The following is an 18,442-nucleotide window of genomic DNA, read 5'->3' as shown; positions in this document are numbered from 1 at the left end:
GGTAATCCCAAAAACTGAGTCAATGTAACATTTCCAATAAGAATAATAATTGGAGAGTGACATCACCAACATGGCAGGCTTCTGACTCTCCCTCCACATAGGGACACACTAATCAATTCCCTCTGAGAATTGATTAATTGACACACAGATCAATTCCCTCTGAGAGAAAGTCAGAAACAAGTTGAGAGACTTTTCTGTATCCGGCAACTGAGAAAATATCCACATTGACTAGGTAGGAAAAGCTGAGGCACACTCAGGTCCAAACCCCACCCCAGGCACTGTGCCATCCAATTAAGAAGGTATCCCCAACACCTATCCTCTCCCTGAGGAGAGAAGGGTTTGGACCTCATATTTACCACCCTAACTCTAAGATTCCCCACAGTGTGGCTTTTAATTCACCTGCCTCTAGAAGCAGAAGGGATTAGAGGCATACACAAGTCTCCCCAGACCACAGAACAAAGAGGTGATTATATATGGGTGTGTAAGCACTTACAGAGGCTTCATACCCCAGGATCAGGGTAGAGAAGGGCCTACAACTCAAAGCTCCCAGTTTCTGCCTGGAAGGGGTTGCCAATGTACTCTGTCAACTGCTGCTGTTACCAGTTGAGCTTCATACAAGCCTGCATCAGGGAATTAACTGGGCTGACAAACATAACCTTTGGCAGCCTGAACGGGAGCTTGGCAGCCCCCAAGCCTATTCCCCTGGCTCACTCCATCAATAACTCCAGTCTACCAATTCCTCCTGGAAAAAGTTTTTCCATGCATCAAGCACCCCAACTTTTATAACTTCTACTTGAGGGACTGCATCTTAAACCTCCTAGCTCTAGGAATAGAAAGGATTAGGAATACAAGAGTCTCATATAAGAATCTCCCCAGATCACAATCCTAAGAGGTGGTTTTAAACAGGAGTGCAAGCAGTTCCAGGGACTACACCTCTTGGAAGCAGTGCAGAGAAAGTGCTGAAACACACAGTTCTATTTTTCACTAAAAAGGATTTCTTTGTACATTCTTCCAGTGAATACTCGATGGTCTGGCTTCTAACTAACTTGCATCAGGGAGTTAATGGGGCAGCCAAACAATACACCTCTGGCAGCCTAAATGAGAGCTTGGTACTTGCCAAGACTTCTCCCCTAGCTTGCCCCAGCGATAACTCCAAGTCTACAGAAGCTTCCTAAAAGTAGTTTGTCCACTTATCTAGTGACATAACTTCTACAGCTCTCATATAAGGACTACCTCCTTAGCCACCCAGCTCTGGGAGCTGATTTGGCTCTGCATTTCCAAGTCTCTCTAGACCACAGAAAACAAAGAGGTAGATATAAAACGGGCCCACTCCCAGTGGCCATACCCTCAGAGGATGTAGTCTGAATGACAGTAGTATAGGTATTTGCCACAGAGCTTCTCCCTGGCTTAGAGTAGAGAGAGATAAATGCCTGCCTTAGTGCAGATAAATAATGCCTGCTTTAGCGCAGTAAGGGATAAATACCTGCTCTCAGCTTCACCCTGAGGATAGAAGGAACTGGAACATGCATCTAACACCCTAATATTTTCAGCTGCATCTAGAGAGCGTGGCTACTGTCTTACTGCTCTCATGGTACTAACAAGACTTGGCACATCTTAACCTTCTGGGGCCACCAAAAACAGAGATATCAGATTGTACACAGAGATTTGAGAGATACATTATAATTTCTGGCTGTACGAATTGGTAAGATCTCCTACATGAGGGCCAGTTTGACAAGACTGGGAGAGGTTACTGTCTTAATGTACAGAAACCAACACGGCGAGTTAAAAGAAAAATGAAGAAATAGGAAAATATGTTCCAAATAAAAGAATAAGATAAATCTCAAGAAACTGATCCTACTGAAATGGAGATATATGGTTTTTCCAAGAGGGAATTCAAAATAATGGTCATAAAGATGCTCCCAAGGTCAGGAGAATAATGCAAGAACAAACAGAATTTCAACAAAAGAGAGTAAGAAAGTATAAAAAAGTACCTAAAAAATCATATAGCCAAAGAATACAATAAGAGAAATGAAAAAATTCAATAGAGGGGTTCAATGGCAGACTATATGAAGTGGAAGTGAATAAGTAAACCTGATGACAGGTAACTGAAAATCATCCAATGTGAGGAGCAGAAAGAAAAAAAAAATGAAAAGGAGTGAAGATAGCTTATGGAACTTATGAGATACCATCAACAGAACAATATGCCATCATCAAAATTGCAGAAAGAAAAGTGAAAGGAACAGAAAACATATTCAAAGAAATAATAATAATAAAAAAAAAACTTCCCAAGCCTGGGGAAGGACATAGAAATCCAGATCCAAGAAACCCAAAGGACAACAAATAAGATGAACTCAAGAGTTCCATAGTCCCATACTTAGACACTTACATAGTGTGGATGTTTGTTCCCTCCAAGTCTCATGTTGAAATGTGACACCCATTGTTGGAGGTAAGGCCTGGTGGGAGCTGTTTGGGTCATGGGGCAGCTCACTCATGAATGTCTTGGCAATGAGTGAGTTCTCACTTTTTGTTCACACAAGAGCTGGCTATCTAAAGGAGCCTGGCATCTCCTCCTCTTTCTCTCACTTCCTCTCTCACTTCTTCTTCTTCACCTGCTCCCCCTTTGCCTTCCACCAGGATTGTAAGCTTCCTGAGGCCCTCATCAGAAGGTAAACCGATGCTGGTGCCATGCTTTTTAGCCTGCAGAAAACTATGAGCCAAATATTTGTCTTTTCTTTATAAATTACCCAGCCTCAAGTATTCCCTTATAAGCAACACAAAATAAGCAACACAGAATGTTGGTAACAAAGAGTGAGGCATTGCTAAAAAGGTAATTGAAAATGTAAAAGCAGCTTTGGAACTGGGTAATGGGCAGAGATTGGAAGAGTTTGGAGGGCTCAGAAGAAAACAGGAAAACGAGGGAAAGTGGAACTTCTTAGAGACTTAAGTGCTTGTGATGAAAATGCTGACAGAAATATAGACAGAGGACATACTGATGAGGTCTTAGATGACAGAAATATAGACAGAGGACAGGCTGATGAGGTCTCAGATGAAAATGAGGAAGTTATTGGAAAATAAGAGTAAAGGTCACTCACGTGACACCCTAGCAAAGAACTTGGCTGCACTGTGTCCGTGCCCTTAAGGATCTGTGGAAATCTGGATTTAAGAGTGATGTCCTAGGGTATCCAGCAGAAGAAATCTGTAAGCAGTAAAATGTTCCAGAAGTGATGTAGCTGCTCTTAACAGTCTACAATAAGATATAGGAGCAAAGAAATGACTTAAGGTTGAAACGTATATTGAAAAGAGAAGTACAGTATAAAAATTTGGAAAATTTACAGCCTAGCCATGTGGTAGAGAATGAAAGAACATTTTCAGGAAAGGAATTCAAGTGGCCTGTGGAGCAACCATTTGCTAGAGAGATTAGCATGACTAAAAGGAAGCCAAATGCTAATAGCCAACGCAATGGGAAAAAGGCTCTGAAGGCATTTCAGAAATATTTGAAGCAGCCCCTCTTATCACAGGCCCAGAGGCCTAGGATGAAAGAATGGTTTTGGGGACTTGGTGTCACCACCCTGCACCACCTCAGGAATGCTCCCCACATCCTGGCTGCTTTAGCTCTCACCATGGCTCAAAGGGCCCCAGATACAGCTCAGGTCACTGCTTCAGAGGACATAGGCCATAAGCCTTTGTAGTTTCCATGTGGTGCTAAGCTTGCAGGCATGCAGAATGCAAGAATGAAGGAGGCCTGGCAGCTTCCACCTGGATTTCAGAGGATGCATGAGAAAGCCTGGGTACCCATGCAGAAGCTCTCTGCAAAGGCTCTCCTCCTGCAACAGGCTTCTGCTAGGGCAGCACTGAAGGGAAATGTGGGACTGGAGTCCCCACAAACAGTCCACCTGGAGGCACTGCTCAGGGGAGCTGTGGGAATGAACCCACTCTCCAGACCCCAGAAGGACACAGCCACTGGCAGCTTTCACCCTGAGCCTATAAAAGCCACAGGCACTCAACTCCAGCCCTTGAGAGCAGCCATGGAGGCTGCAACATGCAAAGCCAGAGGGACAGAGCTGTTCAAAGCCTTGGGGGCCCATCTGGCATACCAGTGTGCCCAGGATATGGGACAGAGAGTCAAAGATTGTTTTGGAGCTTTAAAGTGTGGGACCCATTGCTCCTTTCTTTTAGCCAATTTCTTCCTTTAGGAATGGGAATATTTACCCAATGTTTGTACCACATTGTATCTTGGAAGTAAATAACTTTCTTTTTGTCTTACAGGTTCACAGGTAGAAAGAACTTGCCTTGAGTCTCAGATGAGACTTTGGAATTGAGACTTGGGACTTCTGAATTAACGCTGGAATAAGCCTTTAGTGTACTATTGAGAAGTGATAATTATATTTTGCAGTGCGAGAAGAACAAGATTTGGGGTCCAAGGGTGGAATGATATAGTTTGGATGTTTGTCCCCTCCAAATTTCATGTTGAAATGTGATCTCCATTGTTGGAGGTAAGGCCTGGTGGGAGCTGTTAGGTCATAGGGGCAGATCCCTCATGAACGGCTTGGTGCCCTCCCCATGGTAATGAGTGAGTTCTCACTCTGTTAGTTCACACTGGTTGTTTAAAGGGGCCTGGTACCTCCTCCTCTCTCTTGCTCCCTCTCTCACCATGTGACTCACCTACTCCCCCTTTGCCTTCCACCATGATTGTAAGCGTCCTGAGGCCTCAACAGAAGTCGAGTAGTTGCTGGCACCATGTTTTTACAGCCTGCAGAACTATGAACCAAATATATCTCTTTTCTTTATAAATTACCCAGTCTCAAGTATTCCTTTATAGCAATGCACAATGGACTAACACAGACACATTATCATCAAATTGTCAAAAGTTAAAGACAAAGAGTTTTAAAAGCATCAAGGGAAAAGTAGCTTGTTACATAAAAGAGAACCCATACTAGACTATCGATGAAGTTTTCAACAGAAACCTAGTAGGCAAGAAGAAAGTAGAATATATAGTCAAAATCCCAAAAGAAAAATAAAACTGTCAACCAAGAATACTATCTCAGCAATGCTATCTTTCAAAAACAAAGAGGCAATGAAGACTTTCTCAGACAAACAAAAGGTGAAAGAGTTTATTGCCACTACTTTACAAGAAAAACTAAAGAAAGTTCTTCAAGCTGAAGGTAAAGGATACTAATTAATAAAAGAAAATATCAGAAAGCATAAAAATCACTAATAAAAGTACTGTCAAATTCAAATCACTCTAATGCTGTAATAGCAGGTTATTAATCAATTATATCTCTAGTATACAGGTTAAAAGACGAAACTAATAAAAACAACTATAGCTACAATAATTTGCTAAGGGATACACATTATAAAAACATGTAATTTATCACATTAAGAACATAAATAGTGGGAGCAGGGAGAGTAAAAGTGTGGAGTTCAGCCATGCAGTAAAAATTAAATTGTTATCACCTTAAAATAGCCTACTGTGTTTTTTGTAATCCTCAGAATAACCACACAGCAAAATGAGAACACATTGGATAACCTAGAAGAAATGGACAAATTCCTAGAAATATGTAACCTACCAAGACTGAATAATGAAGAAACTGAAAATCTGAATAGGCCAATAAAGAGTAAGAAGATTGAATCAGTAATAAACAAAAAGTTTCCTCCTATCAAATAAAAACCCAGTACCAGATGGCATCACTGTGAATTTCAACCAAACATTTAATGCAGAATACCCATTCTTTTCAAACTGTCAAAAATTGAAGAGGAGGGAATACATCAAATTCGTTTTACAAGGCCAGCATTACCCTGAAATTAAAGGCAGACAAACACACTAAAAGAAAAGAAAATTACAGTTCAATATTCCTGAACACAGATGCAAAAATTATCAATAAAAACACTAGCAGCTGGTATGGTGGCTCATGCCTGTAATCCCAGCACTTTGGGAGGCCGAGGCACGCAGATCACGAGGTCAGGAGTTTGAGATCAGCCTGACCAACATGGTGAAACCCTGTCTTTATTGAAAATACAAAAATTAGCCAGGCGTGGTGGCACTTGCCTGTAATCCCAGATCCTCAGGAGGCTGCGGCAGGAGAATCACTTGAACCCGGGAGGCAGAGGCTGCAGTGAGCCAAGATTACGCCACTGCACTCCAACCTGGGAGACAGAGCAAGACTCAGTCTCAAAAACAAACAAAACACTAGCAAACCATCTTCCACAGTACAGTAAAAGGATCATTCACCATGATCAAGTGAGATTCATCCTTGAGATGCAACAACAGTTCAACACGCACAAATCAATAAATGTGATCCACTGTATTAACAGAATGAAGGATAAAAATTATATAATCATCTCAATAGATGTAGAGAAAGCATTTAACAAAATTCAACAATGTTTCATAATAAAAACTCTCAACAAATCAGGTATAGAAGGAACGTACCTCAACATAATAAACGCCATATATGATAAGCCTACAGCTAACATCATGCTCAACGGTGAGAAGCTGAAAGCTTCTGATCAGGACTGAAATAAGGATGCCCACTCTCACCAATTCTATTCAATGTACTGTTGTAAGTCCTAGCCAAAGCAATTAGAAAAGAAAAAGAAATAAAAGAAATCCAAACAGGAAAGGAGGAAGTGAAATTGTCTCTTTTTGTTGAAGACATACAAAATCTCATGTACAGAAAACCCTAAAGACTCTACCAAAAAACGATTACAATAAATGAATTCAGTAAAGTTGCAGGATACAAAATCAACATACAAAAATCAGTAGCATTTCTATTCACTAACAATGAACTATCTGAAAAAGAAATTAAGAAAATAATCCCATTTACAATAGCACCAAAAAAGGACTCAGGAATAAGTTTAACCAAGGAGGTGAAAGATCTGTACAATAAAAACTCTAAAAGGCTGATGAAACAAATTGAGGATGACACAAATACAGTAATGAGTTATGTAATGACAGGGATACATTCTGAGATATGTGTTGTTAGGTGATTTTGTCACTGTACGAACATCATAGAGTATATTTACACAAACATAGATGGTATAGCCCTCTCCGTACCTAGGCTATATCTCCTGGGCTATAAACCGGTATACCATGTTACCATATTGCATACTGCGGGCAACTGTAAAACAATGGTATTTGTATATCTAAACATAGAAAAAGTGATGCCTTGCACTGCAACATTACCATAGCTATGACATCACCAGATGATAGGAATTTTTCAGCTCCATTACAATCTTATGGGACCACCACTAATATACACTCTGTCACTGACTGAAATGTCCTTATGTGCCACATGACTGTAAACTGAAAGATATCCCAGGTTTATGGATTAGAAGAATTAATACTGTTAAAATGTCTATACTACCCAAAGCCATCTACAGATTCAGGGCAATCCCTATTAAAATCCCAATGTCATTCTTCATAGAAATAGAAAAACCTGAAAATTCATATGGAACCACAAAAGACCCCCAAAATAGCCAAATCAATCTTGAGCAAAAATAACAAAGGTGGAGGCATTGCATTAGCTAATTTCAAATATATTACAAAGCTATAGTAATAAAGAGAGCATAGTAGCAGCACAAAAAGACACATTGTCCAATGAAATAGAATAGATAGCCCAGAAATAAACCCATGCATTTATGGTCAATTGATTTTCCACAAAGGTGCCAAGAATACACAATGGGGAAAGGACAGTCTCTTTAACCAAGTATTAGGAAAACTGACTATCCACATACAGAAGAATGAAATTGGGCCCTTATTTCACCCCATATACTAGAATCAACTCAGAATGGATTAAAGACAGATGTAAAACATAAGACCTGAAACTAAAACTACTAGAAGAAAACACGAGGGAAAACCTCTTTGACATTGGTCTCAGCAATGATTTCTTGGATATGACTCCCAAAGCACAGGCAACAAAAGCAAAAATAGACAAATAGAAATGCATCAAACTAAAAGTCTTCTGCACAGCAATCAAAACAATCAACAGAATGAAGAGACAACTCACAGACTGGCAAAAGATATTTGCAAATCATACATCTGATAAAGGACTAATATTCAAAATATACAAGAAACTCAAACTACTCAATAACAAGAAAACAACCTTATTTTTTAAACATGGACAAAAACCGGAATAGACATTCCTCAAATGAAGACATACAAATGGCCAACTTGATACATTAAAAAAATACTCAACATCACAAATCATCAGGGAAATACAAATTAAAACCACGGTGAGAAAACCTCACACCTGTTAGAATGGCTACTATCAAAAAGATGAAAGATAACAAGCTGGCAAGGGTATTGAGAAAAGGGAACCCCCGTACATAGTTGATGGGAATGCAAATTAGTATAGCCATTTTGGAGAACAGCATGGAGGTTCTGCAAAACACTAAAAGTAGAACTGCCATAGGATCCAGCAATCCCACTTCTGGGTACATATCCCAAGGAATTGAAATCAGTATGTTAAAGGGATATATGCACTCCTGTGTTCACTGTAGCACTATTCACAATAGCCAAGATATAGAAACAACCTAAATGCCCATCAATAGGGAAATAAGCCAGGCATGGAAAAACAAATAGCATGATTTTACTTATATGTAAATCTTAAAAAGTCAAACTCATAGAAGTGGAATGTAGAACAGTAGTTAACAAAGGCTGGGTAAAGGTGAGGAGGTGGACAGGGAAAGAAGAGATTGTTCGTCAGAGTACAAAGCTCCAGTTTAAGAAGAGGTATAAGTTCTAGCCATCCACTGCAAAGTACCTTGACTATAATTAATAATAACGTATTGTATATTTCAAAATTCTTAAAAGACTAATTTTAAATCTTTTTGCCACAAGGAAATAAGTATGTGAGGTGACGGATATGTTAATTAGCCTGATACAATAATTCTACAATGTATGCATGCATCATAGCGTCACATTTACCCCATAAATATATACAATTATTTGTCAATTAAAAATAAAATATAAAAAAAGGAAAAAGAATAGACTAGTTAACAAGCATTTATTAACCACTCCAATTTTAAATATATTTCTTGTTATTAGGTAAAGATGAGGCCAATGTGTGATAAGTGAGGACCACTGACTTTTTAATTGTTGTTTATTTTAATATGGATTTTTCATAAACCTTTTCTTGTTATGTAGAAACAAGTGATAAAATATGTTAAATATTTAAAGTGTGATAATTAGGTACATAATATATACATGCATATAAAATATGTATGCATATATGTTTATATGCATATTTTATATGCATAAAAATGTTAAATGTTAATTCTATTATAGTGAACTAATTATTAAAGTCAGCATGGAGGCAATATATTCATGTTTTTAGAAAATTTTTAAAGTCATAATAAATATTCCTATTGTGTTACCAACATGCTCAACATTTGAACCAAATTTAATCTTTAACTGCTAAAGGGTTATTTATTCCATGGGTATTATACCAACTATACTAATTTTGATATCTTTCCTGAGAGACACTCAGGAAATATATATGTAATTTTTAAAAAATCACACCAGTAAATTCTCAATTGGCTGCTTAAGCCCACAGATTCTGCAGGCCATTGATAATCCAACTTTTAATAACTTCTTTAGAAGCACTAGGGGAAAAAAATTGTTTTTTAGTATCTCATTCTAAATTATAAAATTTTTAAAGACTTCAAAAACCCCTTTTAATTTATAATAAATATGGGAGAAGAAAATGACCAAATTAATGGCATGAAGCAACATTTTAGCTTTTAACCTTAATATGTCTCTTTTTATTTTAAAATGAGAACAAATCTTTTTTTATTACATGAAAAATTACATGTTTGTTTTTAATCAAGTGAACAGAATACCAAAGTTTGTATACCTAATTAACACATTTTAAATATCTGTTTAGGAAAAAAGTGATAGTAGCTCTAGCTCTATCACAGAACGACAACTCTTCATTTTGCAAATGTTTTCTAAGTGATGCTCAAATGAAAATTATTTCTCAGTTCTTTTGCAAATATCCATCTCATCTGCCAAACTACTGTGACTTAATAAGCAGTGAAGCAAAATTCTTCAACCTACAGAGATGTAGTTCATTTTTGTTACCTTTTTTCACCAAAATCCAACATTATTAGGTCATCCCTCAGTGAACTGGTCTGTTCCTCAACTATTCTCATCCTTTGCTGAAGTACTGTGAATGTTTCAGAAGCTGTAGCGTTGATGTGGGTTGGAGAAAGGACCGGTCTGGACACTGTAGTTTCCATATGTACCTAAGAATACAGTCACAATCTTAGTGTGGTAGGTCCTATTATTGTTCAAAAATAGTCACTGCCATTCCTGTGCCAGGATTAGGCATCACTGTCCTGTTGAACTCAGGAATGGTGATGTGTTCTGCTTTGGCCAATTAAATGTAGGTGGAAGTTATAAGAGCCAGCTTGTTCTTCACCATCTCTCTCTTTTCCCTCCCCTATGAGATGAGCAACATCCCAGGTAGGACTTTCTCCAGGCACTAGGATCCCACGGTGACAATGACATCAAACAGACCCACAACCCATTCATGATATACAGTGTGGATGTCATGACATACAATAAACCTATGTTGTTGTAAGCCATTAAGATTGTTGAGTACTTTATTTCATCATAATTTAGTCTATTCTATTTGCCACTATTAGTCACACACAAGGACCTATGACTTGCTGAGGGAATGGCTTTTATTACTAGCCATTTTCATCATAACATTATTACCATTCAACCTTCTTGAAAAACATTCTATACTTGGACCTCTGTACAGTTGCCATAAAATAAATGACTTACCAACTATGTATCCTGCATTGAAGCAGCATTTTAAAAAATAACATGCAACCTTAACTTCAGGCAAGAGCAAAGACCTTTCTACAGCTATTGACATCAACTTTCCACAGACTCCTCCCCCAAAACGCAATGAAAATAAATAAGAATAGTGAGAATACTTTCAAGATATTAGTGACAGAAGCAGAATTAGCTTATATGTGGTCACAACGTGTAAATGAATCACGTTCAATGACAAGGTAATTGGTGAAAACTTTAAAAACATTGTCCTGCAACTCCGTTCTCTGCAGACATTTCTCTACTAATCATGCTGTAAGCCTTAGCCATTTCTAGCGATAGTGTTCGTATGGGAATGTGTTCACAAGGGTCCAACTTGGGATATCAGGAATACACCTTTGTACCCACTTCCTATGTCATCAGGTATCTCCCTGACCCTTACCTTCCTGGAAGTGAAAGGGGGGTCCACCTCATGTTCAAGTTGCTGAAGGTGGTCCTGGGACCCAGGGCAAGAATTCATGAAGTGGGAGGACTGGTGGCAGGATTTAAGGGAGCAAGAATCATGGTGGGGCTGAGCTTGCTATACCCGCTGAGGATGTTTCTTCATCCTGAAATAGCTCTCCAATTCACTTTGTATCTTCTTCCCACAGGTTCCAGAAAATGGCCTATTTTTTTCTTTTTCGAGGCAGAGTCTTGCTCTGTCACCTAAGCTGGACTGAAATGGAGCGATCTTGGCTCACTGCAACCTCCACCTCCTAAGTTCAAGCAATCCTCCCACCTCAGCCTCTCGGGTAGCTGAGATTACAGTTATGTGCCACCATGCCCGGCTAATTTTTTTTTTTTTTGTATTTTTAGTAGAGACGGGGTTTCACCATGTTGGCCAGGCTGGTCTCAAACTCCTGACCTCAAGTGATCTGCCAGCCTCAGTCTCCCAAAGTGCTGGCATTACAGGCATGAGCCATCACGCCCAGCCTATTTTTCTTTTTACTCTTACTATGGTGTTTCTGACCAGAATTTTTCTTTCATGCCCTACTGTGAAACTTTTTTTGACACAAGCTTTTTGCATTCTTTAGATTTGTTGTTAAGTCAGCTTAAGGACATGGGGTGAAAGAAGCTCCCTTCTATTAATTAACTTTCATTTTTTTCAGTTCATTCCTGAAGGAAAGACAAAGACATGCAGATATTGATGCAGTCTCTGGACACGCAAAATATTCGAAGTGGGGCTCCTCTACATTTCTGGGAAAAAAAAAACTGATGTGGAGACTCCTGGTAATGTTACCACATGAGCCAGTATAGTATTCCTCAAGTAGTAAACGAAAGAGCCTCTGAGTAAGCCCGTCGGGCTGGATCAGCTGCCATAAACCAGGGCTGCAGTTGGTGGAGCCACCAACAGCACTGGGTGGGGAAAAAATGGAGGGGTAACAATGGAGAAACACCTCCATTCTATTTTCTGTCACCTGCTGTCCAGCTACTGACCTAGAGATAAATCATGCCAAAGATGGGGAGAAAACCTAGGGAAAGGGTGGCTAATAGGGTGTGCGCAGACACAGCTCCTTTGTCCTCTCTCCAAAAGAAGCAGAAAAGCTCATGACCCCAGCCTCGCCTCAGCAGGCACACTCATGTGATATATTCTGGCCAAAGAGACTTTGGGCAGAAGTTTGCAAAAGGGCTCCTAGGCAGACTTTTGTTTTTCTAGATTAAAAAAAGAGTAATGATGGCACCTGTCTTTTCCTACCCCCTTACAATTCCCAGAGCGTTCCATCAGTCAGGTATGCAGCAGCTCACTCTCAAATATAAACGAAGAGCCAAGGATCACCAGTGTCTGATAAACACAAGGAAAAGACAGAGAACCTCAGACTATGTTGACACTTGGGCAAAACCAGTAATCTTCAAACTCTGCTTATGTGAGATAAAAAACTTTTTTTTGTTTGTTTTAGTCACTTTCTTCTACATATAGTAGGCCCAGGCATTAGCTGGTGGAAAAACAAGTAGAAGGAAGAAGTAAAAATGACAAGCAGTGCTGGAGAGGGGAAGGGAGAACAATTTCTGTGGCAATTTATTAGACCCAGGTAGCTGGTTATAATATAGAGTCTTGTCTATGTTCATTTATATCAGAAGCCAAGCACATAATACTAATACTCATATTGCAAAAGTCTGTCTTTGGAAAAAAATGGAAATGGAGAAGCTCCCCCACATATTTTGAATAGGATGCAGATTCCCAACTAAAATTTTTTCATGTAATTGTTCAAATGTTTAGTTTTGTTGATATTTCCCTAAGGAACCTATGATCTGTATTAAATGCTTACATTGGCTCTCCAGGACATGTGTACATTCAGCCATGAAAACAAAACAGCAAATCATTTAAATTGCTTCACTTGTTTTAAAAAAAAGAAGGTCCAACATGTCGCGGTAGGAATTTGGTTTGCATCCACACTGAGTGCCACCCGACCCTGCTCTACACTGAAGCTTCTCAGGCTTCCATAGAGAAAATATACTTTCAAAAAGGAGCAACCAACTTGGCCCAGCCTCTGAGGGGAAGGAGGTTTATAGAAAATTCACCCTAAGAAGGGGGAGATTGAGGTGACTCGGACACTGATTGATGGTTGGCAGGGCACAAAGCTTTTGAGTGAAATACATGGTGTTGTCCTTAAAATATCCTCTTAGTCAATCGCTGAGAATCCTGTTCAGGTCATCAAAGTTGCTGAAACAAAAATTAAATAAGCCAATCTAGCCTTTGGGGATTTACTAAAAACAGATCTCATGGCCAGGCACAGTGGCTCATGCCTGTAGTCCCAGCATTTTTGAAAGGCCTATGTGGGAGGATCACTTGAGGCCAGGAGTTCCAGACCAGCCTGGCCCACATGGCAGGACCCTATTCTCTTCCAAAAATTTTTAAAAATGAGCTGGGCATGGTGGCCTGTGCCTGTAGCCCTAGCTACTTGGGAGGCTGACGCAGGAGGATCACTTGAGCCCAGGAGGTAGAGGCTGCAGTGAGCTATGATTGTGCCACTGCACCCCAGCCTGGGTGACAAAGCAAGACCTTGTCTCTAAAAAAAAATAAAAAATGAAAACAAGTCTCAGGGTTAGTTAAAAACCTTCCCTCCCAACCACCACCTCCACTTCCCGCCATGGGAAAACAAAAACAAAAACCAAACAATGCCAAGGTCAGGAGAGTCCTTGGAAGCAAGGGAGGGGGCGGTAATGGCTGAGTAGCAAGAGGACAGCCTTAAAGCCACCAGGCAGAGTCCCCGAGTATCTGGGAGGCTGTTAAAGTATGAGATAAGAACTTTCAATCCAGTAAATTAATCTACCAAGTTGGGGCTTAAAGTTAGAGAGAGATTCTCATTTTCACTGCAGTTGCTCATACCCTTGCCTGTCCTCCCCATCTGGTAGGCCCAAAGCAGTGGTAGCAGAAATGCCACCCACACCCCTACATACATAAATACACGCACACTCTCCAATGGCCACTTGGCAGATCCTCATAAGTCATAGTTCTATGGCTCATAGTCTAAGAAGCACAGTCTTACATGAAAACAATCTACCTCTAATGGCTGACATTCTAGCAAAGAGACAACAGCTTTAACATATCTGTGCTTTGTTGTGTTTGAAAAGGAGCAAATATTGATTGCTGCCTTGAACCTAAGTCCTAACGCTTGATAGTAACAATAATAAAAATACTGAGATATAAACTTTTATTTTTAAAAAAGTTCATTCATAACTAATTTCTATGCATATATTATTATCAAACTAACAGAATTCTGTCTTGATGTTTAGGGAGAATATTTCCAAAGAGCTTCTAGGCAGGTAACCTTATGGAAAGCATGGCAAGAAAAAGACCAATGTCACAAGTAATATACTAGTAAAAACCAGATGACTTTGAAAAGAGAACACATGCTTCTGTGGACACAGGCTCCATTCCTACACCTGGCAATAGGTGTACACTGGCAAAAGCGTATACAAGTACATGCTGTTGGTTCCAAAATAACAGTCCAGGGAGTCAATGTTGTTTATCACAACCACTAGAAAATAATATGGTAACACTGTCTTCATTCACTCACACATCTAACAAATATTTCCTGAACATTTACCATGAGCCACACACTGTTATAGGCAATGAGGCGGGGGGCAGGGGTTGGGTAGAACAGTACGAACAAAACTCCCTGCCTTCGTGGAGCTTATATTCCAGCTGAAGAAGACAGACACTAAGTAAAATACATAGTTTGTTTATTGGTGATAAGTGCAAAGGAGGAAAATGAAATAGGAAAGAACATGGTATGGAGGCTACAGGGCAGATTTTCATTTTAAACAGGGTGGTCAAAGAAGGCCTCATAACATTTGAGCAAAGACCTGTTATATAGATATCAGAGGGCAGAAAGGCCCAGAAGACGGAAACAGCAAGTGCAAAGGCCTGAAGTTAGAAGGTCTGATGAGTCCGCACATAATAAAGAGGTGGGTTTGGCTGGAGAGGAAGGAGTAACACAGAGAACATTGAGAGATGAGGTCAGACGGTAATAATAAAACCAGAATACGGCTGGGCGCGGTGGCTCACGCCTGTAATCCCAGCACTTTGGAAGGCCGAGGCGGGCAGATCAAGAGGTCAGGAGATCGAGACCATCCTGGCTAACACGGCGAAACCCCGTCTCACTAAAAATACAAAAATAAAAATAAAAAAAAAATTAGCCGGGCGTGGTGGCGTGCTCCTGTAGTTTCAGCTACTCGGATGGCTGAGGCAGGAGAATGGTGTGAACCCAGGAGGCGGAGCTTGCAGTGAGCTGAGACTGCTGCACTCCAGCCTGGGCGACAGAGCGAGACTCCGTTTCAAAAAAACAAAAAACAGAATACACAGAGCCTTGAAGGCCATTGTAGAAGTCTGGCTTTTGCTGTCAGTGATTCTCAGAGTCACTGGAGGTCTATAGCTGAGGAATGCTATCCAACTTTCCTTTTAACTGGATCATTTTGACTCCCTCCCACTCCAAATGGTGGAAGAACAAAAGCAGAAGTAGAGATGCTGCTGGCCAGAACCAAGGTGACAGCAGCGGTATTCCTACTGTAAGAAGTGGTTAGTGGTTAGATATACTTGAAAGATAGCTTTTGCTGATGCATTAGATATGAGATATGAGGGAAAGGAAGAAGCCAAGATTACTACAGGGTTTTTGGCCTGGATGGTGCTATCACTGAGACAATGCAAACTTATTAAGGAAGAATCCGTTTTGTGGAAAAGATAAAGAGTAGTTTTTAAAATGTCAAATTTAAAACATGAAAGATACCAAATACATTATTGAATTTGTGGATCTGAAGTTTGGGGGTGAGGTGTGGACTGGAGACTAATTTCTGAAGAGCTCAAGAAAACCATAAGGCGGGATAACAGAGAACACAAAGGATTAAAGGACCTAGTCCTGAGCACGCCAAGATTAACAAATTAGAAGCATGTGTTGGGGGGCATTTAAGACGGACTAATACGAACTTCTCTAAAGTGGGGTTAAAAATAGACATTTTTCTATCTTTAGAGCCTAATACAGTGCCTGGGAAATTATAGGTGGTAAATAAACAGGAGAATACTTCGACAGGAATTTAACGAATGTCTATTCCGTTCTAGCAAGAGCGCCAGGTACTGCGGAAACCGTAAAGAACAAGTGCAAATTCCTGACACCTATATTCTGGTAAGCAAGCCAGGGAGGATTAACTGGTGGCAAAAATCAAACATTAACGCCGAAATAGCCTTCCCAGGAACCTATTAAACTCCAACTTAACACATAAATAAAGGTGGTATTGGGCTTATCTGGAGGCTTCGGTGGCTATCTCCCATCCCTCAGCTGGAGCCAGGCCAATGCAAACTTCGCTCCTAAATGGCTTTCACCGGCAGCCAACGCCAAAGCGCCTTAAATCAGGGCCCTGAGGTCCAGGGAGTGAGACTGGACTCCGTCAGGACAGGGAGAGGGCGCCAGGGAGTGGTGACTGTCCTTATCTGAGCCGAAGCCTCGCGAGCCTCCGACCACCCCTCACCAGCCCGGGGCCCGGCAGCCTCACCTTACAGTCCATCTGTCCGCCTGAGGCTCCGTACTGCAGCAGGCGAGCGGGTTTCCGTGGAACTAACACAGCATTTTAAACCAACCCGCTCCCCGGCGCAGTAGCTCCGGTACGCAGGCGCACCCGTGGCAGGGCATGTCGGGAACTGTAGTTTTCCCGGCCCAGGAGGGCCCTCAGCCCTGGGCGGGACCCAGGCCGGCATCCGGCGGCGCTCAGGGAATGCGTAGCGCCGTGAACCGAATGGCGGCAGGCTCCACTGTGCTCGCGAGCGGGGCACGCCGGGATATGTAGTTTCCGGCGCCTGCCCTCCGGGGGGTCCTGTGCTGCCCACTTCACAGTGACTTGTCTCCGCCTGGTGAACTCGCGGTGTTCTGCTAATCTTGGTAAATACATACCCTACAGCAGAGTAACGAGCATAAAAATTGGTTAAAAATTCAGAGCTTAAACATTCTTCTCGTTAAAGGAAAAATCAAGTCCCTCTTCGTCCTCGTCCATGATGGCCACATGGAGAGTAAAACACAGAAATCTGTTTTCAGGTCTTTCGTCTCTTCAGCATAAATTATTTCTTGCCCTGTCTACAAGTTAATAGGTATTTGTAAATCTGAGTGTAAGTAGCTATGAAACGGAAAAGAGCATTGAGCTGTCCCTGGTTTTTTTGGTGGTTTGCTTTTTTGAGATAGGGTCTTCCTCTGTCGCCAAGGGTGGATTACGGTGGTGCGATCTCGACTCACTGCAGCCTCGACCTCCCGAGCTCAAGCGATCCTCCCATCTCAGCCTCCCCAGTATCTGGGACCACAGGCGCGCGCCACCACGTCTGGCTAATTTTTGTATTTTTTCGTGGAGGCGGGGTCATCACCATATTGCTCAGGCTGGTCTCTTTGGGCTCGAGCCATCCGCCCACCTCGGCCTCCCAAAGTCCTGGGATTACAGGCGTGCATCACCACACCAGCGTTTCTGAGTTGTTTTGCTTTAAGAATATGTATTCTCACTTAAGGGAAAGCCTTCTATAGTGCAAAGACGCGGCTTTGCGTTTTGGTAGCTGGACAGAACACCTGTTATCCCTGCCAGGGCAATTAAAATGCATTTCTCTCTTCTCCCTGAGAGTGCAGCCAAGAATCACTTCAGCCCTCTCATATAAGCAATCAGATCCGAGATGAGAGCTCATTTACTTAGCCTGACAATTGATCTTGCTATTCTAATTCTTTTCATAGCGGAGCCTCAATGTGAGATGCAGAGACTGCCCATCAAACCACAGCCATATTCATCAAGCTTTGAGCCGATCCGGTGAAGAGAAATGAGCACTGCATACATTATTCAGAGAAAGGGACCAAATAAAGCTTTTAATAGGAAATGAAAATGTATTTTAAAGCGTCAGTGCAAACAGCCAATTATTTTCATTATGTATGTTTTATCTTGCAATGACCTCTGGTTTATCAGTGGAATTAAGAGATGAGTGATACATGTATCCACGTGTTTTTGTGTAATGAGAGTTTTCACCTTCTCCTCAAATCTCCATATTAAGCAGCAGTCAGGGAACCAAACTGATTAAATTCGTGTTTTTCATTTGTTTTCCCTTATTCACTGTCTGGCAAACCGTATAAGAACTTAAGCAATTACAGAGTTAGAGAAAAGGACCTG

The 18,442-nt window shown here is 41.0% G+C and overlaps 1 protein-coding gene and 1 long non-coding RNA gene across 12 annotated transcripts in view, besides 5 other annotated features; one reads left to right on the top strand and one right to left on the bottom strand.

The window, feature by feature from the left end:
• The window catches only part of CCDC150 (coiled-coil domain containing 150), a 93,092-nt gene extending 76,224 nt beyond the window's left edge, over positions 1-16,868 (bottom strand). For 9 of the 11 annotated variants that reach the window (XM_006712438.4, XM_017003863.2, XM_047443975.1 and 6 more), the window contains exons 1-2: positions 16,805-16,868; positions 10,079-10,242 (exon numbers count right to left, since the gene is read on the bottom strand). In XM_006712438.4, the coding sequence (XP_006712501.1) occupies positions 10,079-10,242; positions 16,805-16,816 (176 nt within the window). In that variant the 5' untranslated portion in view covers positions 16,817-16,868. The remainder of the gene's footprint in view (positions 1-10,078; positions 10,243-16,804) is intronic. The other 2 variants (XM_047443976.1, XM_047443977.1) reach the window with 1 other exon arrangement.
• Positions 3,143-3,791: an enhancer, noted in NCBI's record as "OCT4-NANOG-H3K27ac hESC enhancer chr2:197517516-197518164 (GRCh37/hg19 assembly coordinates)". NCBI's record gives its function as "activates a minimal SCP1, AML or CMV promoter by ChIP-STARR-seq in primed H9 embryonic stem cells {active_cell/tissue: H9 hESC(primed)}" and the evidence as "EXISTENCE:reporter gene assay evidence [ECO:0000049][PMID:30033119]".
• Positions 16,007-16,544: an enhancer, noted in NCBI's record as "H3K27ac hESC enhancer chr2:197504763-197505300 (GRCh37/hg19 assembly coordinates)". NCBI's record gives its function as "activates a minimal SCP1, AML or CMV promoter by ChIP-STARR-seq in naive H9 embryonic stem cells {active_cell/tissue: H9 hESC(naive)}" and the evidence as "EXISTENCE:reporter gene assay evidence [ECO:0000049][PMID:30033119]".
• Positions 16,545-17,082: an enhancer, noted in NCBI's record as "H3K27ac hESC enhancer chr2:197504225-197504762 (GRCh37/hg19 assembly coordinates)". NCBI's record gives its function as "activates a minimal SCP1, AML or CMV promoter by ChIP-STARR-seq in naive H9 embryonic stem cells {active_cell/tissue: H9 hESC(naive)}" and the evidence as "EXISTENCE:reporter gene assay evidence [ECO:0000049][PMID:30033119]".
• On the top strand, positions 16,898-18,155 carry LOC105373823 (uncharacterized). Its single transcript, XR_923747.3, has 2 exons — positions 16,898-17,187; positions 18,016-18,155. It is a non-coding gene; the product is annotated as an uncharacterized LOC105373823 (long non-coding RNA).
• Positions 17,067-17,116: an enhancer, noted in NCBI's record as "active region_16911". NCBI's record gives its function as "activates an Ori minimal core promoter by ATAC-STARR-seq in GM12878 lymphoblastoid cells {active_cell/tissue: GM12878}" and the evidence as "EXISTENCE:reporter gene assay evidence [ECO:0000049][PMID:35858748]".
• Positions 17,137-17,356: an enhancer, noted in NCBI's record as "active region_16910". NCBI's record gives its function as "activates an Ori minimal core promoter by ATAC-STARR-seq in GM12878 lymphoblastoid cells {active_cell/tissue: GM12878}" and the evidence as "EXISTENCE:reporter gene assay evidence [ECO:0000049][PMID:35858748]".
• Positions 18,156-18,442: the final 287 nt, after the last annotated feature.

Source organism: Homo sapiens, chromosome 2 (assembly GCF_000001405.40).
Source record: "Homo sapiens chromosome 2, GRCh38.p14 Primary Assembly".
In the NCBI taxonomy this organism is placed as follows: domain Eukaryota; kingdom Metazoa; phylum Chordata; class Mammalia; order Primates; family Hominidae; genus Homo; species Homo sapiens.
This window is presented reverse-complemented; position numbering and strand designations above follow the sequence as displayed.